At 52.3% G+C, this 22,752-nt stretch overlaps 3 annotated features.

Annotated features, from left to right (window-relative positions):
* Positions 2,569-3,158: an enhancer, noted in NCBI's record as "H3K27ac-H3K4me1 hESC enhancer chr11:69565172-69565761 (GRCh37/hg19 assembly coordinates)". NCBI's record gives its function as "activates a minimal SCP1, AML or CMV promoter by ChIP-STARR-seq in primed H9 embryonic stem cells {active_cell/tissue: H9 hESC(primed)}" and the evidence as "EXISTENCE:reporter gene assay evidence [ECO:0000049][PMID:30033119]".
* Positions 3,159-3,749: an enhancer, noted in NCBI's record as "H3K27ac-H3K4me1 hESC enhancer chr11:69565762-69566352 (GRCh37/hg19 assembly coordinates)". NCBI's record gives its function as "activates a minimal SCP1, AML or CMV promoter by ChIP-STARR-seq in primed H9 embryonic stem cells {active_cell/tissue: H9 hESC(primed)}" and the evidence as "EXISTENCE:reporter gene assay evidence [ECO:0000049][PMID:30033119]".
* Positions 16,424-17,424: an enhancer, noted in NCBI's record as "H3K4me1 hESC enhancer chr11:69579027-69580027 (GRCh37/hg19 assembly coordinates)". NCBI's record gives its function as "activates a minimal SCP1, AML or CMV promoter by ChIP-STARR-seq in naive H9 embryonic stem cells {active_cell/tissue: H9 hESC(naive)}" and the evidence as "EXISTENCE:reporter gene assay evidence [ECO:0000049][PMID:30033119]".

The raw sequence follows: 22,752 nt of genomic DNA on the forward strand, positions 1-22,752 counted from the left end.
CACCTGTAATCCCAGCTACTCGGGAGCCTGAGGCAGGAGAATCGCTTGAACCAGGGAGGCGGAAGTTGCAGTGAGCCGAGATCATGCCACTGCACTCCAGCCTGGGCGACAGAGCGGGCCTCCGTCTCAAAAAAAAAAAAAAAAAAAAAAGGCCCAGTGGCTCCCACTTCACTCCAAGCAAAGCTCGAGCCTTGCCATGGCCCCCTAGGCCCTTTGCTTCTGCAGCTCCCTCTCTGCTCTCCACCCACCCGCTGCTGCAGCTGCCCTGACCTCCTCTCTCTTCCAGTCCAGTCTCCTGGCCTTTGTCCCCACTGAGTCCTCTGCCTGAGGCACCCTCCCTGGATCCACTTGCAGGCTGCCCTCTCATCGATGCCCAAGGGACACTTTTTCTTCAGCACAGCTTCTCCCGAACACTGGAATTAAAGTGGCAGCCCCTCCCATCCCGCCCCCTCCCTGGCCTTCCCTGCAGCCCTCCCTTTCTTTCTTCTCCATTCTGCCTCTCCCCACCTCCTGAGACACTGTGTCATTTTCTTACTTGTTTTACTTGTCTTCTCTCCCCCACCTCAGCATAAGTGCCGTTGGAGTAGGATGTTTGTTCATTCACTACCACAGCAATAAGCTGTGGGCACCGGGAGGCCTGGGAGGTCCTCAGTGTGTTAAATTTCCAGAGTTGGCTTTGGGACCGTTCGCTGAGAATCCTAAATTGGAGAGGTAGGTCTCCAGGGATGAAAGGGGAGGGTCAGGGGCAGAGCCCGAACTCCTCAGGGCAAGGGGGTGACTGGCTGGCCTGTTCACCTCCCACTGGGGTTTGGAGGGTGGTGGTTCAGCCAGATAGTGTATTAGACTGCAGAAGAAGGCAAGAGGGAAGACAACAGACAGTTAGCAGAGCTTTCAAGCAAAGGTCTCCTGCGGCTGTCCCTGGAGGTCTTGGAGGTGAGAGGGAGGCGCGCCAGAGGGGCACTGCTTGGGGCACCGTCAGCTGCACCCCAGCATGGGCGCCTGTGATCCTAGGGGGCCCGCAGCACACCCCCCTCAGAAGCACGCATTTCTCCCACTTATGCATGGCCCCGGGTCAGGACCATGCAGAAGCGGGATCCCAATAGCTCAACCTAAAGCCAGGGCCAGGCCTCGATCCTTCCTGCCCTCGTCTTAAGAGTCACAGTCCTGGCCAGGTGCCTGTAATCCTAGCACTTTGGGAGGCTGAGGCAGGTGGATCACTTGAGGTCAGGAGTTTGAGACCAGCCTGACCAACATGGTGAAACCCCGTCTCTACTAAAACTACAAAAATTAGCTGGGTGTGGTGGCTGATGCCTGTAATCCCAGCACTTTGGGAGGCTGAGGCGGGAGGATCACCTGAGGTCAGGAGTTCAAGACCAGCCTGGCTAACATGGTGAAATCCCGTTTCTACTAAAAATACAAAAAATTAGCTGGGTGTGGTGGTGCACATCTGCAATCCCAGCTATTCAGGGGGCTGAGGCAGGAGAATCGCTTGAGCCCAGGAGGAGGAAGTTGCAGTGAACTGAGATCACGCCATTGCACTCCAGCCTGGGCAACAAGAGTGAAACTCCATCTCCAAAAAATAAATAAATAAATAAAATTAAAAATACAAAAATTAGCAGGGCGTGGTGGTGCATGCCTGTAATCCCAGCTACTGGGGAGGCTGAGGCAGGAGAATCACTTGAGCCTGGGAGGTGGAGATTGCAGTGAGCCGAGAGGGTGCCATTGCACTCCAGCCTGGGCAACAAAAGTAAAACTCCATCCCCCCCACACAAAAAAGGGTCATAGTCCCTCTGTCAAACCTACCCTGGAAAAAGGGGTGTGGAAGAGTCCCCAGGGCTCCAGAAAGAAGAGCTACATGTTGGGGTTGCCAGACTTAGCAAGCAAAACAGAACACCCAGTTCAACGTGAACTTCAGATAAACACTGAATAAGTTGTTAGTATAAGTATATCCCCTGCAGTTGTTGGGTTATACTTACACTAAGGAATTGTCATTTATCTCAAATTCAAACTTAGCTGGGCATCCCAGATCTTATCTGACAGCCTGGGGGAGACGACGCTTGAGCCTCTAGGGATCCCCGTGTGAGTCCCCAGAGAGGACTGGCCACAATCAGAGTGTCCAGCAGAGAATCCAGCCGTGCTCTGTCTCCTGCGTCCAGCCCCTTTGGTCCTGAGAGTGAGCGCCTCCTCACTGAGAGTATTCAAGGAAAGACGAGAAGGATTCCTGCGCTGGGCAGAAGATGGAGTTTCTGGAATCCTAAGATTTTCAGAGCCAGAAATGAACAGTAGAAGTGACCAAGTTTCATTTCACAGAGAAGGAAACTGAGGCCCGGGGCGGTGGGCTGACTTGCTGAAAGCCCCTCTTGGAGTCAGCAGCTACGCTGGGGCTGAATCCAGGCATCCTGACCCCTGCTGTCTTGCACATGACCAACTGCCTGGAGCAAGTGTGGCCCCAGCACTAGTGTGACCTGGACGAGAGGCCCGTCATCCTCAGCCTCAGGCCCAGCAGAATTAGACCGGGATGCTCTGGCCAGCCTCCCAGCCCTGCACCTCTTCTGGCCTTGGCTCCTGGCCCCGCACAGGACAGGCACACAGCCCTGCCCACACCTTGATTTTGGACTTCAGGCCCCTCTGCCACTCCCTCTGATCCTTGTTTGTCAAAGCTCCAGCCCCTGGGGACCCCAGACGCCCCTGTGTTTTGCACATGAATAGGTGGAGATTTCCTGAGACCATCTTGCCATGAAAATGCACATTTCTCACCAAAAGGCTCCAAATCTGGGCACCACAGACTCCAGCAAAGAGCCAGGCTGACCGTGCCCCAGGTGTGAAGGTGGCTGGACCCTCCCAGGGGCTGCCTGGATCCCAGCCAGCTGGAGGAAGCCACCCAGGTGTCTGTGAGGAGCCAGCACCCTGAGGTTGCCAAACAAACCCATGGCCCTCTCCGCAGACAGGAGGAGGCGTGGAGTTTGGAACCACCTCCCCAGACTCCAGCTGCCTGGCAGAGATCTTCAGGGCTGGGGGTGAACCTAGAAACCAACCACCTCTCTGTGAGTGCTCACTCATTCACTCAACAAGCATTCATCCAGGCCCTGCTGCATGCTGGGTGCTCTTACAGACACGGGATGCAGCCGTGATAGGGACAAGTGAGACAGGCAAGGGCTTGCTGTCATGGGGCTCGGAGTCCAGGAGGAGACACTCAGTAGACGGGAACTCGATGGTCTGGGCTGTTCACGCAGGCTAGGGAGGGGCAGAGGCCAGGGTTGTGAGAGGGAGTGTCTGGGAGGCTGTAGCTGTAGCTGGGGTTAGGGAGGATGCCTTCCCAGTGTGGGAGAGCCCACCTGTGAAGATCTGGGCACAAACCCTCCAGGTGGATGTGCAGGTGCAAAGGCCCTGGGGCTGGACGGGTTGCAGGAAGAAGGCAGCTCGTACCACCAGGACTGGGGAGAGAGTGGGAGGTGGCACCAGCCTGTGGGCTGGTGAGGAGGATGGCAGGTCTTGCTCCCACCCTCTCAGGACTGGCTTTTAAGGACCTGCCTTCCTCTGGGTTATGTCACTTCTCTAATCACCCACAGCCCAGGCCGGGCTGGCTCCTCTGTCCTCACGGGACTTGGGCCCTGATCTTGGAGGGGTCAGCCAGGCCAGCCTCTGCCTCTTGTCTCCAGAGCCCAGAAGGGGGGGCCCCACCCAGCAAGGCTGGGTGATGTGGGGATGGGCTCGTTCCTCCTCAGCTACAGGAGGTAGAATGGTGTCCCCCTCCACAAAAAAAAGATATGTCCACTTCCTAACCCCTGTGGCCTGTGAGTGAGATCTCACTGGGAAATCGGGTCTTAGCAGATGGAATTAAGCTTAGGATCTGGAGATGAGGTCCTCTTGAGTTTCAAGTGGGACGTAAATTGAATGTAGGCACTCTTCTCAGAGCAGAGGAGAGAAACAGAAGCAGAGAAGCCCACGTGAAGACGGTGGGAGGCACGGGAACAATGCAGCCCTAGTCCGGAGCGCCAGGAGACCCCAGGAGCTGGAAGAGGCAGGAGGATCCTCCCCCAGAGCCTTCGGAGGGTGCACAGCCCTGCCCAGGCCTTGATTTTGGACTTCTAGTTTCCAGAACAGATTTTTGATGTTTTTTTGTTTGTTTTTTTGAGACAGAGTCTCACACTGTCACCTGAGCTGGAGTGCAGTGGCGCAATCTTGGCTTACTGCAACCTCCGCCTCCCAGGTTCAAGCGATTCTCTTGCCTCAGCCTCCCAAGTAGCTGGGATTATAGGCACCCACCACCACGCCTGGCTAATTTTTTGTATTTTTAGTAGAGACGGAGTTTCTCCATGTCGGTCAGGCTGGCCTTGAACTCCTGACCTCATGATCTGCCCACCTCGGCATCCCAAAGTGCTGGGATTGCAGGCAAGAGCCACTTCGCCCTGCCGGATTTTTTATGTTTTAAGCCACCAAGCTTGTGACGTTTGTTAAGGCAGTCCTGGGAAACCCCTGCGCTGCCCTTTGACTCCTCTGTGACTTGGTCAATGGCAATGAGGCCCAAGCACCTCTGGACCCACTTACCTTTCCAGCCTGGGCTGTCTCTTGAGCCTGTCACTGGAGAGAAGGAGCCTGAGGAGGGTTTAGGGTTAAAGAGATTTGGGAGGCTGGGCGCAGTGGCTGATGCCTATAATCCCAGCACTTTGGGAGGCTGAGGCGGGCAGATCACTTGAGGTCAGGAGTTTGAGACCAGCCTGCCCAATATGGTGAAACCCTGTCTCTACAAAAAATACAAAAATTAGCTGGGTGCTATGGTGTGCACCTGTAATCCCAGCTACTCGGGAGGCTGAGGCAGGGGAATCGCTTGAACCTGGGAGGTGGAGGTTGCAGTTAGTGGAGATCGTGCCACTGCACTCTAGCCTGGGTGACAGAGCTAGACTTCATCTCAAAAAAAAAAAAAAAAGAGAGAGAGATTTGGGGCTGAATGTGGCCCTGCATTACCTGTAGGAAGAACTTGGGCAGGTAACTTAAGCTGCCTCTAACCTGGCTTTCCTCACCTGTGAAATGAGGTGGCCACTCATGGGGTCTTCAGGGCCTCTCCAGAAGGCCCCAAAGGAAGAATTTCAGCACAGATGGAGCCCCGGTCCCAGCCCATTCTCTGCCCAGACCCCTGGCTAGGCTCCAGCCACCCCAGGCAGTCCCCCTCCCCAGGTAATTGGGGGCTATTGAAGTCCATTAACATACTCTGGCGACAATCCTAGCCCTAATCACATTAGCTCTGAAGTACAAATCAGGACCTGGCCCTGGAGCTGCTTTCAAAGATCAGGGGGCTCACGGGTTCTGGGGCTTTCCCCAGCCTCTGTTTGCTCCTCTCTTGAAATCCACAATCTCCTGGGCTGGTGTCAAGGAACTGAGAAGAGCCCAGGGGCCTCCCTGGGAAGTGTGAGTGTGTCTGAGGGGCAAACCCGGACCAGGACAGAGACTGCCCACCTGCCCAGGGCATGTCTGGGTGCCCCTTCCTGGCCACAGAGCCTGAGAGGGGCTTAGGCGGTCTCTGCACCTGGATCGGGGGGTTTGCCCGAGGTACGGTTGTGCACACTGCGTTTCTCACCCTGGGACATGCAGATGTGTTCACGGTGGGTCAAGGATACCCCACATTGGAAACTCACCCTGTGGTGGATCCTACGGTGGCTCTGCTGCTCACAGCAGTGTGACCTTGGACAAGTCACTGCACATCGTCTGTGAGGTGCCCCACCCTGGAGGAGAACAGGGAGGGGATAATGCATAATGTCATGAGCAGTGACTGTGCTCGACACCCCACTTCCACGCTGATGCTCAAAGGGTATCTCATGGCTGAATCGTGCCCTCAGTTTCATAGGTTAAAGGCTAATCCCAGTGCCCCCAGAATCTGCATCTGGAAATGGGGTCTTCACAGAGGCAATTAAGGTAAAATGAGATTATATGGGTGGACCCTCATTCCACCTCACTCATGTCCCTGTAAGAAGACATGAGGGCTGGGCGCAGTGGCTGACGCCTGTAATCCCAGCACTTTGGGAGGTCGAGACAGGTGGATCAATTGAGCTTAGGAGTTCGAGACCAGCCTGGGCAACATGGTGAAACTCCCCCTCTACTAAAAATACAAACATCAGCCGGGTGTGGTGGTGCATGCCTTTGGTCCCAGCTACTTGGGAGGCTGAGGCAGGAGGATCACCTGAGCCTGGGAGGTCAAGGCAGCAGTGAGCCATGATCTCGCCCCTGCACTCCAGCCTGGGCAACAAAGTGAGACCCTGTCTCAAAAACAAAACAAAACAAAACACCCAAGAAGGGATGAAGACACAGACACCCACAGAGGGATGACCACAGGAGGACACAGGGAGAAGGTGGCATCTGCAGGCCAAGGGGAGAGGCCCCGGAGGAGCCAGTCCTGCCACACCTTGATCTTAGCCTCCAGGGCAGTGAGAGGATAATCGGCTGTTGCCCGTCTGTGGTGCTTTGTCATGGCGGCCAGAAGGAACACATATGGGACTCCTCTCCCAGCCCTTCTTTCCTTTTTATGTAGAAGATTCACCTTTCTCGGAAGGTGTGAACATGACAAGGCGCTCGCAGTTCGTTTCTTTTGGTGGCAGCTTAGATGTGTAAGCAGAGATATGCGTCCCTTCTAATTTTGTCATGAGTTGAACACTATACACCTTTGCAAGAAACAAATATGCAACTATGCCAAAAGGGAATGATGTTATCCCCTTATGCCACTGCCATCCCCAGAGGGACCCCATGTGGGCTGCCTGGGGACACACACTACCCTCCACTCCATGTTCATTCAGATGCACACATGCTCATGTGTCGAGTTTTTGTGGCTCCTGGTTTTTATATTTATTTGTTCTATGTATTTATGTTTTTATTTATTTATTTATTTTTGAGACAGAGTTTCACTCTTGTTGCCCAGGCTGGAGGGCAATGGCGTGATCTCAGCTCACCGCAACCTCCACCTCCCAGGTTCAAGCGATTCTCCCACCTCAGCCTTCCTGAGTAGCTGGGATTTCAGGCATGCACCACCACGTCCAGCTAATTTTGTATTTTTAGTAGAGATGGGGTTTCTCCATGTTGGTCAGGCTGGTCTCGAACTCCCGACCTCAGGTGATCCGCCCACCTTGGCCTCCCAAAGTCCTGGGATTACAGGCATGAGCCACCGTGTCTGGCCTATTTTATTTATTTTTTTGAGATGGAGTCTCGCTCTGTAACCCAGACTGGAGTGCACTGCCGCAATTTCGGCTCACTGCAACCTCTGCCTCCTGAGTTCAAGAGATTCTCCTGCCTCAGCCTCCAGAGTAGCTGGGATTACAGGCGTGTGCCACCACATCCAGCTAATTTTTTATATTTTTGGTAGAGACAGGGTTTCACCATGTTGGCCAAGCTGGTCTCGAACTCCTGACCTCAAGTGATCCACCTGCCTTGACCTCCCAAAGTCGAGTGGGGCCACCGTGCCCGGCCGGCTTCTGGTTTTTATAAACATGGCATCAGTGTGTGCACATCACTCTGACCTCTGTTTTCTGACTCAGGCTCTGGTCAGTGCAGTAAACGCACATCTAACCCTTCAAGTCTATACTTGTCTCCTTCTTATCAATAAGTGGCTGGGAAGTGCTCTGGACTTTAGAGATAATTAGGAGCCAGCTATAAATCCACTGAGGCTGTTGACTTTTTTTTTTTTTTTTTTTTTTTTGGGATGGAGTCTAGCTCTGTCACCAGAAGAGCAGTGGCGCGATCTTGGCTCACTGCAAGCTCCGCCTCCCGGGTTCATGCCATTCTCCTGTCTCAGCCTCCCGAGTAGCTGGGACTACAGGTGCCCACCACCACGCCCAGCTACTTTTTTGTATTTTTAGGTGAGACGGGTTTTCACCGGGTTGGCCAGGATGGTCTCGATCTCCTGACCTCGTGATCCGCCCACCTTGGCCTCCCAAAGTGCTGGGATTACAGATGTGAGCCACCGCGCCTGGCTGACTTTTCTTTTCTTTTCTTTTTTTTTTTGAGATGGAGTCTCACTCTGCTGCCCAGGCTGGAGTGCAGTGGGGTGATCTCGGCTCACTGTAAGCTCCACCTCCTGGGTTCACGCCATTCTCCTGGCTCAGCCTCCCGAGTAGCTGGTACTACAGGCACCCACCACCATTCCCTGCTAATTTTTTGTATTTTTAGTAGAGACGGGTTTTTACCCTGTTAGCCAGGTTGGTCTTGATCTCCTGACCTCGTGATCCACTCGCCTTCGCCTCCCAAAGTGCTGGGATTACAGGCGTGAGCCACCGCGCCAGGCCTGACTTTTCAAAATAGTAGATCTCTCAACCCGTTTTCCCTTTCTCCGGTGGTTTCATGGTGTGCTTAGGGTTTCTGTCTCTTCAGGGATCAATTCTAGTGTTTGAATTTCACCAAGGTATTGCCCAGTTCCCTTGTATTTTCACCTGTGTGGCTGCAGTGGTAGGGTGTCTATGCTTTCTTCTCTCATAATCAATGGATTCCTTCTTTATTGGGGGCTGTAACCTCTTCCTCATTCCTACATTTGTAACTTTCATTCTCTTTCTCTTTTTTCTTTTCTTAACTGGGATTGCCAGGAATTGTTCTTTTCCCGTTGTACTGGCCTTTTCAATGAACCAACTTCTGATTTTCTTCATGCTTTCTGCTGTTTTTTATTTTCGACTTAACTAATTTCAGCTTTAATGCTATCAAATCCCCTCATTCTAATTTCTTTTAGTTTACTTTCCTCTTCTTCTTTCTTACCTTGAATATTTGATAGATTTTATCTTTAGGCTCTTATAACAAAACCATCCTGGGCTGCGAAAATCCCCCCTAATTACAGCTATTGCTGCATACCTACGTTTTGTTATGAAGTGTTCTCTTTCTAGCTTTCTGGATATTTTAGACGGAGTCTGGCTCTGTCACCCAGGCTGGAGTGCAGTGGTGCAATTTCAGCTCACTGCAACCTCTGCCTCCTGGGTTCAGGCAATTCTCCTGCCTCAGCCTCCCAAGTAGCTGGGACTATAGGTGCATGCCACCACGCCCAGCTAATTTTTTGTATTTTTAGTAGAGACGGGTTTCACCGTGTTGGCCAGGCTGCTCTCAGTCTCCTACCTTGTGATCCGCCCGCCTCAGCCTCCCAAAGTGCTGGGATTGCAGGCCTCAGCCACTACGCCCTGCCTAAAGCCCAGCTATTTCTTTAACTCAGTGTCCACAAGTTGGCTAGGTAGTTCTTCCGCCGTGGGCTGGCTTGGCTCATCTCTCTGGGCACTTTCATGGTGGTATTCCAAATGAATACTGGTCCTTCCAAGAGCACCAGCCTGTGTCTTTGCACTCTCAGTGTTAAAATGTGAGAATCAGCAAGTACTAGCAGGTTGTGAGGGGGACACTGGCATGAGTTGAGAGTTTTCCATTCCCAATCAGAAGGATGAAGGAGAAGGAAAAGGGAACCATCATGCCACTCCATAGTTTAACAAGACTGTGCTGTGTCTGCCAGCCATCCATAGCCATTTCCTCAGCCACCAGAAGTATGTGCCCGCCCTGGGAGACACTCCCAGAACTATGGGAGGCTGAGGTGGGCGGATCATCTGAGATCAGGAGTTCAAGACCAGCCTGGCCAACATGGTGGCACCCCATCTCTACTAAAAATACAAAATTAGCCAGGTGTGGTGGTGTGCACCTGTAGCTGCAGCTACTTGGGAGGCTGAGTCAGGAGAATTGCTTGAACCTGGGAGGTGGAGGTTCCAGTGAGCCAAGATTGCACCATTGCACTCCAGCCTGGGTGACAAAGCGAGACTCCATCTCAAAACAACAAACAAACAAACAAAAAACCAAAGATCTGTCCTTAACCACATATGACAAATTCTAGTCCAGTTATCACAAGATGTTCAGATCCCATTTGCTCATTTACTCAACAAGCTCACACTGTTGGGCCACCGTGAGCACGGCTCCCCTGCTGGGGTACAGCAATGACCAAGGATGGCAAGGCCAACACTTGGCATAAAACAACCCCTGCTAAGGGGGCAGAACTTAAAAATGTGTAATAAATGAATATGATCATATGAATAATTCTAAGTGCCACAAGGGGGGAGTGACGGGGGAGAGAGGACATCTTACGAGGTCCTCAGAAGTGCCCCTGAGCCGGAGCTGAGTGCCGCGTGATGAAAAGAAGCCACCAGGCATGGAAGGTCTAGCAGGGGCTGTGTGCAAAGGCCCGGGGGCAGGACAGAAAGAAGGCGTGTGAGGCTGGGCGCAGACAGAGGGAAACTGGGTGGGGGGTTGGGAGATATCTTTGCCGGATGATCTCGTAGTTCTCAGACTCAGCCATCATCCTTTTTCTTTTTTAAACCCATCTATTGAACATTTAAAAGTTATTGTAAACATCTACACTTTATTTTAGAAGTTTAATTGCTCTGTCGTTTCTAATTCCATCTCTTCTTGAAATGCCCTTCCTTTCCCTTATTGGCTAGAATTCTCAGCTGAGTCTCCATCACACTTTGGCCTGGGCCTTCCTTCCCCAGGCAGCTGAGGGTCCTTGGATAAGTTGTTGTTGTCTTTGATCTATCATGACTTTGTCTTCTCCCAGGCCCCATCCGTTCTGGCTGAAGGTCGAGGGAGACAGACAGTGGATGGTCCAGCAGCCTCTGCCCTGAGTCTGGGAAGCTCAGGAAGGTAGAGGGAAGGGATCAGCCATCCCCTCTCTGCTGGCTCTTGGGTGAGAAGCTTTCAGTGCTTGGGGCCCCAGGTATAGATGAAGGCCCTCTGCCAATTCTAGGGGCTGGGAACAATTCATCCTGCTCTAAGGGACCCCTCCAGGTCCTCAGGGCTCAGCAGGCACTATTAGCCATCTGGGGACACCAACGAGGGTTTGCACTGGCCCTTGATACTGGAGTCCCTTCAGGACATGAAAATCCTGGCTTCTGCCAGGAGCCACAAAGACAGGCAAGCTTTGTTCGCCACCACGGGTCCCAGCTCTCCTTCCAGCCCAAAGAAGCCAGATACCCAAGCAACCATCTTGCCTTGGATGTCCCACGGCCCCGGAGAGGAAGCGGGCTGCAGAGAGAATGGGGTGCGTGCCTCACCACTCTCTTCCCCACCTCTCCATTAGCACCTGTCCCGTCATCTCTTACTGAGTAACAAACCGATGCAAACCTCAGTGGCACGTGGCAACCACCATTTTATTGAGCTCGCTGGTTCTGTTACAAGGAGCTTGGACAGGACACAGCAGGATGGCTTGTCTCTTCCATGACATCTGGAATTTCAGCTGGGAAGACTCAAATGGATGGGAACTGGGACCATCCTGGAGGCCTCTTCACATGTATGATGTCTGGGTCGGGACAATTTGAAGTCCAGATCTAGCTAGGACTGGCCGGAACACCTACACTTGGCCTCTCTGTGCAGCTTGGGCTTCCTCCCAGTATGGCGTCTTCAGGTGGTTGGACTTCTGATCTCTGTGTGGCTTGGGCTTCCTCCCAGTATGGCCTCCTCAGGTATGAACCTGACACAGTGGCTCAGGGCTCCAAGCATCACCTGTGGTGACCCAGCCTCAGAAATCACACTGTGGCACTTCTGCCAATGCTACTGGTGGAAGCAGTTAGAAGCCCACTCAGACTGAAGAGGAAGGGACATAGGCACCCACCTCTCAGTGAGAGGACAGTCAAAGACGTCACCACCACTTAGCTTTGTCTATCATTTTGTCAGGAGTCTGACATTTGCAGAGAGCCACGTGCAAGCAAGTCCTAAGTGGGGTGCTCTGGGACGGCCCAGGGCTGCAGGGTCTCTGGTCGACTGAGGTGCTGTGAGTGGCCCTGGTGACAGGGAGCCCTTTGAAGATATGAGGTCTCTTGCCAAATGCAATTTATCTCCTGGGTCAGATGCCTTGGGAGGTCCTGCAGGGACCTGCCACTGCTTTGTCTGGGAAGATAGCCTCCGCTGCCTCACTGTGTCCACAGTGGCGTCCAACGAGCCATAGGAGTCACTGAAATCACAGCTCACCCTTGTGAGCACTCGCCGGCCTGGGGTTGTGCTGAACCCTTTCTATGGATTAACAGGGTGCTGCCCCAGGTGCCACACTGGCCTGTAGCAGGAGAGGCATTTCTAGGTGGAACATGGGTTGGTTACATTAAGTCACATTGGATCGCCCAGTGAGAAAGCTATTCCCTTTCAGCCATTCTCACTCCCAGGAGAATGTCTCTGTTTGGTGACAGTAAGTCCTTAACACCCCTCTAACACTTGCAAATCTCTCTTGTGGGGGGAGAAAAAGAGACAGCAAGCCCGAGGCTCAGAGCTTTTGGCAGACACCTGCATCTTGCAAGAAATTCTCAACATCATTTTGTGTTTCTTATCATGGGCTACCTTCTGTGTATGACAAGGGACAATGTTTTTCCACTGAAGCTTGTCCTGTAAAATTTTAAAAGAAAATTATTTAAGTAACAAACGAATAGATCAAAACAAAAATTCAGGTAGACAAAAGTACACATGGTAGGCAGGTGTGGGAACCAGGGCCCAGTGGAACCAAGGCAGCCCTGGAGACACTTGGATGTCTGAGTTTTTAGAAGCTCTGCCTTGGTTCCCTCATAATGACTGTGAGAAGGGTTTGTTATTGTTATTTCCATCCCGTGGTTGAAGGAACAGGACTCAGAGGCGTTCAGTCTCCTTGCTCAAAGCTCACAGCAAATGCAGGCAGTGCCAGAGGTCCTGCCCCCTGAACCCAGGCTGTCCCCACTGGGCTTGCTGCCCAGCTCCACTCCCAGGATCGAGGTCCACTCTGAGCTGGAGAGTCAGGGGCTCTCCACACAGAGGGACATTTCAGGACCAAACATGGGGAAGTTCCAGAGAGGGCAACTGACCGAGGCCAGTCCAGAGGCAAAGATGTGGGCACTGGGGCTTGGGGTCCAAAGAAACCAGCACTGAGTGGTAACCAGGGGTCACTAAGCCACTTGGTCCCACGATGACCCACAGGAGTAAGTCCTGAAGCTCTTCTAGTCATCAGGTCCACCCTGTGAGTGTGTCAGGGGGAGGGTGGTGGGTAGAGATCGCAGAGTATCCCCCAAGGGAAGAAATGAGGACTGAAGCTCACATAGGCCCCAAGTCCAGGGTTAGGACATCCCACAGGATGGAACCTGCTAGCTCCAGCCAGTCCCAGGCACCAGAAATGTGGACGGCAGCTCAGTGCATGAGGCCTCCCAAGGCCTGGGGCCCAGGGAACTGCTCCAGCCAGAGCCCCCTGTTCCCCCAGTACACACACCATGGACTGGTGTGCGAAGCTGGGCAGAGTGGAGTAAGAGTTGCCTGAAGAAGCGAAGTGTGTCACCTGACTTTGGATGTGACTTCAGGAAAGGAGTCCCCAAGGCATCTAGGCCTCTGCTCAAGAGCCACTGGGGGTGACCCCGATGGTGGGTGAGACCAGGAAGGGGTGGTGCTGCCTCCTTCCCTCCTGATTCCAATGGACGCCCTGACATCCTGTCCCACCTGCTATGGTCTGATGTCTGTGTCCCCCCCAAATTCATATGTTGAGCCCCAATCCTTAATGTGATGGGTGTTAGGAGGTGGGGACTTTGGGAGGCGATTAGGTCATTAGATGGAGCCTTCATAAGTGAGAATTAGTGCCTTTAAAAAAGGGACCCCATGGCCAGGCACAGTGGCTCATGCCTGTAATCCCAGCACTTTGGGAGGCTAAGGCGGGTGGATCACGAGATCAGGAGTTCAAGACCAGCCTCGCCAAGATGGTGAAATCCCCATCTCTACTAAAAATACAAACAAAACAAAACAGGCTGGGCAGGAGAATCGCTTGAACCCAGGAGGCAGAGGTTGCAGCACATTGGGAGGAAGAGGCGGGCGGATCACGAGGTCAGGAGTTCGAGATCAGCCTGGCCAACATGATAAAACTCTGTCTCTACTAAAAATACAAAAATTAGCCAGTGGTGGTGGCAGGCACCTGTAATCCCAGCTACTCAGGAGGCTGAGGCAGGAGAATCGCTTGAACCCAGGAGGCAGAGGTTGCAGTGAGCCGAGATCACACCATTGCACTCCAGCCTGGTCAATAGAGTGAGACTCCATCTCAAACAAACAAACAAAAAACTAGCCAGGCATGGTGGTGGGCACCTGTAATCCCAGATACTCAGGAGGCTGAGGCAGAGAATATCTTGAACCTGGGAGGTGGAGATTGCATTGAACTGAGATCATGCCACTGCACTCCAGCCTGGGCAATTGAGCGAGATTCCATCTTAAAAAAAAAAAGGACCCCAGAGAGCCCCCTTGCCCCTTTGTCATTTGGGGACACAGGGAGAAGCTGGCAATCTGCAGTCTGGAAGAAGGCTAATAGGGTTTGGATCTGTGTCCCCACCCGAATCTCATGTCCAATTGTAATCCCGACTGTTGGAGGGTGATAGAGTAAGACTCCGTCTCAAAAAAAAAACAAAAAGGCACCAACCTCCTGAGCCGGTGTTGTTCTGCTTCCCATCGGCCAACCGGATGTGGCTGCTACGTGTGCTGGGTCACTGACTGGATGGCTGGAACTGGCTTGGGGTCTCCTCTTTGGCTGGGGCCAGAGCATGGATCAGATGCTCACCAGTGGGCGTGCACACCTGAGGACATCAGGAAAGGCACGGAGCAGCTCCCAGGTGCCCAGCAGCACACTGGGGATCTATATCTATATAGGTGGTGAACCAAATGGGCCCAGCCCCTGCCTGCAAAGATTCCAGTCCTGGGGAGGGAGGGAAAGCAAGCCCCAACAGGTGCGTAACTCACAAGTCAATTACTCTGTGTAGGGGTTAGGAAGGGCTGCGGGGTGTGGTTTGTTTCCCAGGATGGTGTCTTCACCCCCCAGCTGCTGATGGCTTGGAGCTTCCCTGCTCCTGAAAGGGACCACATTGCCTGGAAAGGCCTGGAGGGTCCACTCTCCCCGATCCCCAGGGCAGCCTGCAGCCAGGGACTGATTGACAAGGGGGTACAGATGCTCAGCCCCTTGCCCCAAGGTGGGACAGCTCTAGGATGCTGTTGGTACCCCAGAGCACCCCGGGGAGTGAGGAATCAGGCCAGACCAGGCTGAGTTGTGATTGCCGCTTCTTTGGCCTGTCCTGCTGCTCTCCTTTCCTTGCCAGTTCTTCCTGGGAGCTCCTCCCTTGACAAACTCTTTGCTCAGGGATCCCAGTCTTGGGTTTTGTTGCTGGGGAACCTAACCTAGGATGCCAGAGAGTATGTGATAAGACAACGCATGGCCCAGTGTGGGCTGGGAGTGGCCAGAGAAGGCTCTGGGGACATGACAGCACTAGCTGGCTGGAATAAGCACCTACTGTATGCCAGGCCCTTTATCTTCCAAATGCCTCACTTCTTTCATCCTTAGAGTAAAGGACCTTTGAATCATGACTTTAATAATGAATCTGAGTAACTGGTGTGTGGGCTGATGGGTGTCTTCCCAATGTCCTGTCTCCCTAGAGCCCGTGAATGGAACCTCATTTGGAAATAGGGGCTTGGCAGAGGCAATGAAAGCTAAGATGAGGTCCTGCTGGAATTCTGGGACGAGGCTAAATCCAGTGACTGGTGTCCTCATAAGAAGAGGGAAATCTGGACACACAGACACACAGAGGAGAAGGCCATGTGGTGATGGAGGCAGAATCGAGTGATGCAGCTGCAAGCCAAGGAATGCTGGCAGCCAGCAGCAGCCAGAAGAGGCAAGGAAGGACCACCCCCCAGAGCCTTCTGAGGGAGCAGGGCCCTGCTGACACCTTGATTTCTGCCTTCTGCCCTCCAGAACTGCAAGACAATACATTTCTGTTGTTTAAGGCTGCCTGGTTTGTGGTCATTTGTCACAGCTGCCCTGGGAAAACCAGCTGGGTGAAGTGCAGGGGTGGGGAAGATCCTTCCAGGCAGGAGGTTGGTGTGTGCAAAGGCCCTGTGGCCAAGCGGATGGTACCTGTGTGCTCTGAGAGAACGTCAATGTGCCGGGAGCCGGCCGAGCACAGGGATGTGGGGAGGGAGCTGGCAGGATGGGCACCGGGAAGGGCAAATGGAGCCTCTGCAGCGGATGAAAGATGACCACACATTCCGTGCTAGTCCTCCCACTGTGAGCAGAGGCCTGTTTTCTCCCCTTGAATCAGAGCTGGTCTGATTTCATGACCAATGGCAGGAATGAGGTTCTGGAACTTTCTGGGCCTGGCCCTAAGAAGCCTTGGGCGTCCTGGAGCCCTCTGAGCCGCCTCGTAAGGCCTCCAGCCCCAGGAGAGGCTCCCATGCTGGAGAGACCCTGTGTGGGTGCTCTGGCCGATGCCCAGCTGAGCCCAGCCCTCCAGCCTTGCCCATCAGGGTGCCGGCCTCAGACCCCCAGATGAGCCCATCCAATGCCAAGATCTTCAAAGCCATAAAAAGCAGAAAAATCACCCAGCCAGACCCTGTCCACATCCCTGACCTGCCACACTGGGAGTTATAAGATGGTGGCGGTTTTGTCACTGTTTGGGGCAGCTCATTAGGCAGTAGTGAGTGATCAGAACGGCCTGGCTGACGGCTGTGATCTCAGTCTAAGAGCGTCGCAGGGCTGTGGAAAGCATCCCAGCCCAGGGAGCAGGATGGAGCTTGCACGGTGAGAAGGCCCCTAGAGAAGGGCCTGTCAGGGTAGAGGAAGAAGTTGGGGGGGCCAGTCAAGGGGCTGCTGCAGCCACCCAGGTCCAGGGAGAGGCGGCCTGCACAGAGGTCCTGTGCAGATGGAGAGGTCTTTAGACTGCAGAGTCGATGAGGTGAAACCAACTAGATGGAGTGAGAGGCTGCTGGGGGAGGGGTGGGTGGGGGGAAGGGCTTGCCTTGTCCTCCTGGACGGAAGAAAGGACAGGCTGGGGATGGCTGTGATTGGGTGTGGACCCACGGAGGCTGAGGAACCCTGGCAGCCTCCCAGTGGGGAAGATCTGAGACCCAGCAGAGGAGTCTTGCTGGGGGCAGGGGTGGGCGTGAAAATGATGTTGTGTTGCCTAGCAAGGGTGTTCCAGTCCCTGGGTCTCCTGGGCAGTTTGATTCATTACAGGGGCCCCAGTTCTTCTAGCTCGATCCAGGACCCCTCCTACATGGGGTCCTGGGGGAGGGTGGGTCTGTGCTGGGTTGCTGTCCCCCTTCCCCACCACAGGACATGGACCAGCACGGATGTCACTTTCCTCAATCACAGCTCACTGCAGCCTTGAACTCCCAGGCTTAAAGGATCCTCTCACCTCAGCCTCCCAAGTAGCTAGGACTACAGGTATGCACCACCACACCCAGCTAATTTTTAAATTTTTTTGTAGAGATGGGGTCTCACTATGCTGCCCAGCCTAGCCTTGAACTCCTGGGCTCAAGTGATCCTCCCACCTTGTCCTCCCAAAGTGTTGTAATTACAGGCCTGAGCCACTGTGTCCAGCCTCCCTCCTTCCTTTCATAAGAAGCATATAGAATTTGAATGATGGGCTGGGCGCGGTGGCTCACGCCTGTAATCCTAGCACTTTGGGAGGCTGAGGCGGGTGGGTGGATCACCTGAGGTCGGGAGTTTGCGACCAGCCAAACCAACATGGAGAAACCCTGTCTCTACTAAAACTACAAAATTAGCTGGGCCTGGTGGTGGGCGCCTGTAGTCCCAGCTACTCAGGAGACTGAGGCAGGAGAATCGCTTGAACCCGGGAGGCGAGGTTGCGGTGAGCAGAGATGGCGCCATTGCACTCCAGCCTGGGCAACAAGAGTGAAACTCCGTCTCAAAAAAGAAAAAAAAAAAAAGAGAAAGAAAGAAAGAAAGAAAGAACTTGAATGATGAATTGAGGACACTTAAAATTATTCACATTGAAGAAACACTCTGAGCTCATGAGCCCTTGATCTTATTTTAATGTAGACCAGAGTAAGCCAGTGCAGGCTGCATTTGAGAGGAGCAGTCTTCCTAAAGGGCTGTCTTTTTTTTTGAGACTGAGTCTTGCTCTGTCATGCCCGGCCAGTTTGTATGTACGTTTGTATGTTTTAAATCATGCACTATTCTGAGTGGAGTGATGGAATCCTGTGCCGCCCAGGCTCTGTCCCACCCGGGACGGAATCGTGCCTGTGTCCAGCGTCTCCACACTGTAGACGGTCCTGCTTATGAGTCAGTAGTTCAAGTCACCCGGATTTTACTTGATAATGATCCCAAAATAGGAGTAGTGATGCTGACATATTGTTATAATTGAATTTGATAGTTACTGTTAATCTCTTACTGTGCCTAATTTAGAAATTAAACTTCATTATAGGTATGTATAGGAAAAAAAAAAGAGTGTATACAGCCGGCGCTCATATCTGTGGGTTTTGCATCCCTCAGATTGAAAACATTTGGAGGGCCAGGTGCAGTGGATCATGCCTGTAATTCCAGCACTTTGGGAGGCTGAGGTGGGTGGATCACCAGAGGTCAGGGGTTCGAGACCACCCTGGACAACATGGAGAAACCCCATCTCTACTGAAAATACAAAAATCAGCTGGGCCTGGTGGTGGGCGCCTGTAGTCCCAGCTACTCAGGAGGCTGAGGCAGGAGAATCTCTTGAACCTGGGAGGCAGAGGTTGCAGTGAGGCAGAGGTGCTGTTGTGCCAGGCAACAGCGAGACTCTGACAAAAAAAAAAAAGAAAAAAAAAAAAGAAAAAAGTAAGGAAAGAAGGAAGGAAGGAGAAAGAGAAAGAAAGAAAGAAAGAAAGAAAAAGAAAGAAAAGAAAGAAAGAAAGAAAGAAAGAAAGAAAGAAAGAAAGAAAGAAAGAAAGAGAAAGAAAGAAAGAAGGAAAGAGAGAGAGAGGCTGGGCGCAGTGGCTCACACCTGTAATCCCAGCACTTTGGGAGGCTGAGGCAGGCGGATCACGAGGTCAGGAGATCGAGACCATCCTGGCTAACACGGTGAAACCCTAGTCTTTACTAAAAATACAAAAAATTAGCCGGGCGCGGTGGTGGGCGCCTGTAGTCCCAGCTACTCGTGAGGCTGAGGCAGGAGAATGGCGTGAACCCGGGAGGCGGAGCTTGCAGTGAGCCGAGATCGCGCCACTGCACTCCAGCCTGGGTGACAGCGCAAGACTCCGCCTCAAAAAAAAAAAAGAAAGAAAGAAAGAAAGAAAGTAAAAGAAAGAAAAAAGAAAAGAGGCCGGGCATTGGGGCTTATGCCTGTAATCCCAGCACTTTGGGAGGCCAAGGCGTGGATCACAAGGTCAGGAGATCAAAACCATCCTGGCTAGCACAGTGAAACCCTGTCTCTACTAAAAATACAAAAAAGTTAGTCAGGCATGGTGGTGGGCACCTGTAGTCCCAGCTGCTCGGGAGGCTGAGGCAGGAGAATGGCGTGAACCCGGGAGGAGGAGCTTTCAGTGAGCCGAGTTCGTGCCACTGCACTCCAGCCTGGGCAACAGAGCAAGACTCCGTCTCAAAAAAAAAAAAAAAAAAAAAAAAAAAAGAAAACGTTTGGGAAAAAAGCTGGGTCTGTATTGAACATGTACAGATTATTTTTCCTTGTAATTATTCCCTAAACAGCACAGTATGACAACTATTTACATAGCATTTACATTGTATTAGGTATTGTAAGTAATCTAGAGATGATTTAGAGGACATGGGAGGACGTGCGTAGGTTATTTGCAAATACCATGCCATTTCATATCGGGCACTTGAGCATTCCCAGATTTTGGTATCCAGGGGAGGTCCTGGAACCAGTCCCCTCAGATACCAAGGGATGCCTGTATAGGGTTCAGTACTATCTGCAGTTTCAGGCATCCAGTGGGGTTTTGGAACCTGTCCCCTGTGGATAAGGAGGGACTACTGTATTACTGTCATTCCCTTAAAAGATTTAATTATGGTCTTAATGTCCCAGTCTTTTCTATCTTCCCGTTAATGGGATGATTTTCTAGCCCAGTGCTAGGGGCCACCGTCATGCCGAGAAAAGGCCCTTCCTTAGGGTGTGGCCAGGGTCTTCCCTTGAGAGGCTGAGTCTGGTGGAACCAGCACAGGGCCACTCACTGTGTTTCTGAAGACAGCCCATTAGGGGGCTGGGTGTGGTGGCTCACACCTGTAATCCCAGCACTTTGGGAGGCCAAAGCGGGAGAATCACTTGAGGTCTAGAATTCTAGACCAGCCAGGCCAACATGGTGAAACCCCGTCTCTACTAAAAATACAAAAATTAGCTGGGTGTGGTGGCATGCGCCTGTAGTCCCAGCTACTCGAGAGGCTGAGGCAGGAGAATCATAGCTTGAATCCAGGAGGCTGAGGTTGCAGTGAGCCAAGATCACACCACTGCACTCCAGCCTGGCAACAGAGCATGACTCCATCTCAAAAAAAAACCGAAAAACAAAAAACAAAAAACGTACAAACTGTGTATCCCCTGGAATTTAATATTTTGAGACCGAGGGTGACTACAGGTAACCGAACTATGGAAAGTGAAACTTTGGATAAGTAGGGTGTAATCTAACAGACGACAGTCACTGCTTACTGTGACAGGCACTTTACATGCATCGTCTTCTCCAGCCTCACTCCAGACACAGGTGGTGGGAATCATGAGGAGAGGTGAGGCGGGGTCCCCTGGCTCACCCACGGTCATTCAGCAAGGAAGCTGTGGGTCACCCACCTACGAAGCTGTGGGGCTGGCCCCAAACCCTGCACTCATCCACGAAGATGTTGGTCCCCTAGGCAGCAGGCTGATTCTGAGAAACCCCATCTCCTCTTTTGTTAATTTGACTTTTCACTCCCCACCACACCAGCCTTAAGCAACCTTATACCCAACCTGAATCCCCATAATCGCTTCCTCCTGGGACTCCTCAGCTTCCGACCATCTCATCTCAACCTTCCTCTGCTCCATCCCAGGGCTATGAGATGGCACAAACTCACTGTAAGGAAAAGCCCAGTCCACACCATGGCCTCCAAGGCTCCAGGAGCTGGCCTCTCTGACTCTGCCTCCTCCCTGCCCATCCCACAGTGCCTTAAACATCCCAGGCCTGCTGCCAGCCCCACACCTTCTCATGGGCTGTTCCCTCTGCCTGGACACTGTTCCTCGCACGGCTTCCTCCCTCAGCACCTTGAAGTCTTTGCTTAGACGTCATCACCTTCATAGCAACCCACCCCCACCCCCACCCCCACACCTCCCCATCCTGCTCTCTCTCTGTCTTGGCACCATCCACCTTCCCAGGTGGCCCGTGTTCCTCATTCACTGTCATCTCCCTCATTACGATGAGGCTCTAGGTGAGCAGGGATCCTTGTTTCCTTCGCTAATTGTGCCTGGCACAAAGGAGGCACTCAACAAGTATGTTAAGTGAATGAGTGACTTTTTAATCTCTCTTGGGACCTGTCCTTGACTCCCCATTGTCCCCCTATGCTAGGAGCTGGAAAGCCAAGACGAAAGCTCAGTTCAGCTGATCGATTTTGCCAACGATGGGTACATTTCCACCCCAGAAGCTGGATGAGCCATTCCTTGTTTGGCCAGGACAGATGTGGACAGAGACCTACAGGGTCTGCATGCATGAGGGGTTGCAGATCCAGATGGCTGGATCGTCCGGGTTGCAGTCCCCTCCCCACCCCAGTGTGAAAGGCCGCCGGTGGCAGCAAAGTACCACACACTGTGGGCTTAAACAACAGTAATTGATTATCTCACAGCCCTGGAGGCTACAAGTCCGAGGTCAAGGTGTCCGCACAATTGGTTCCTTCTGAGGCTGGGAGGGAGCCCCTGTCCCAGGCCTCTCACCTAGCTGTTGGGCATTTGCTGGCACCCCTCAGCAGCCCTTGGCTTGTGGAAGCATCACCCATCTGCCTCCATCTTCACGCCGCCTTCTCCCTGTGTCTCTTTACATGGCCTCCTTTGTAGGAGGGCACCAGTCATAGTGGATTAGGGCCCACCCCCAGTAGTCTCATTTTACCCCTATAAAGACCCTATTTCCAAACAAACTCACATACTGAGGTCCTAGGGGTTAGGACTTCAACATATCTTTTGGAAGAGATCTTTTGGACATAATTCACCCTCTAACATCACCTACGTATTTCTTTGTCGTACCTAGATCATGGCTGTCAAGAAATAAGGACAGAAAAGGGCTGGGCTTGGTGGCCTACGCCTGTAATCTCAACACTTTGGGAGGCCGAGGTAGGAGGATCACTTGAGCTCAGAAGTTCAAGACCAGCCTGAGCAATAAAGTGAAAACCCATCTCTATAATGATTTTTTTTTAAGGGTAGAAGAACATAATGCCTTGGAAAGCAAATTACGTACAATTAAGGATTTTCCAACCCTGATTGCCTTTTTGCAAAGCAACTGGATATGTCTTACAGGGAGAGGGGAACCCCAGATTCTAGGTACATTAGGCCAGCATTTAGCTTTCTTAAAAGCAATCCACTGCACTCATGAGTACTTCCTAGGAAAGACTAGTTATAAATACTATAATTGTATATAATTGAACCCAAATTTTCACAAAACAGTTTGCACCCTTACTGTGATTGATACACTCAGATGATTTTAATTCTATAAGATTTAGTTCCATTTCCTCCTTATAAAACAGTAACTGCTGGCCAGGCATGGTGGCTCACGCCTATAATCCCAGCACTTTGGGAGGCCGAGGAGGACAGATCACCTGAGGTTTGAGACCAGCCTGGCCAATATAGAAAAACCCCGTCTCTACTAAAAATACAAAAATTAGCTGGGCATGGTGGCGGATGCCTGTAATTCCAGCTACTTGAGAGGCTGAGGCAGGAGAATCGCTTGAACCCGGGAAGCAGAGGTTGCAGTGAGCTGAGATTGTGCCATTGCACTCCAGCCTGGGCGACAAGAGTGAGACTCCATCTCAAAAAATATAAAAAAATTAGTTAATTAAAA

The sequence above is a fragment of the Homo sapiens genome, chromosome 11 (assembly GCF_000001405.40).
Source record: "Homo sapiens chromosome 11, GRCh38.p14 Primary Assembly".
NCBI classification, from domain to species: domain Eukaryota; kingdom Metazoa; phylum Chordata; class Mammalia; order Primates; family Hominidae; genus Homo; species Homo sapiens.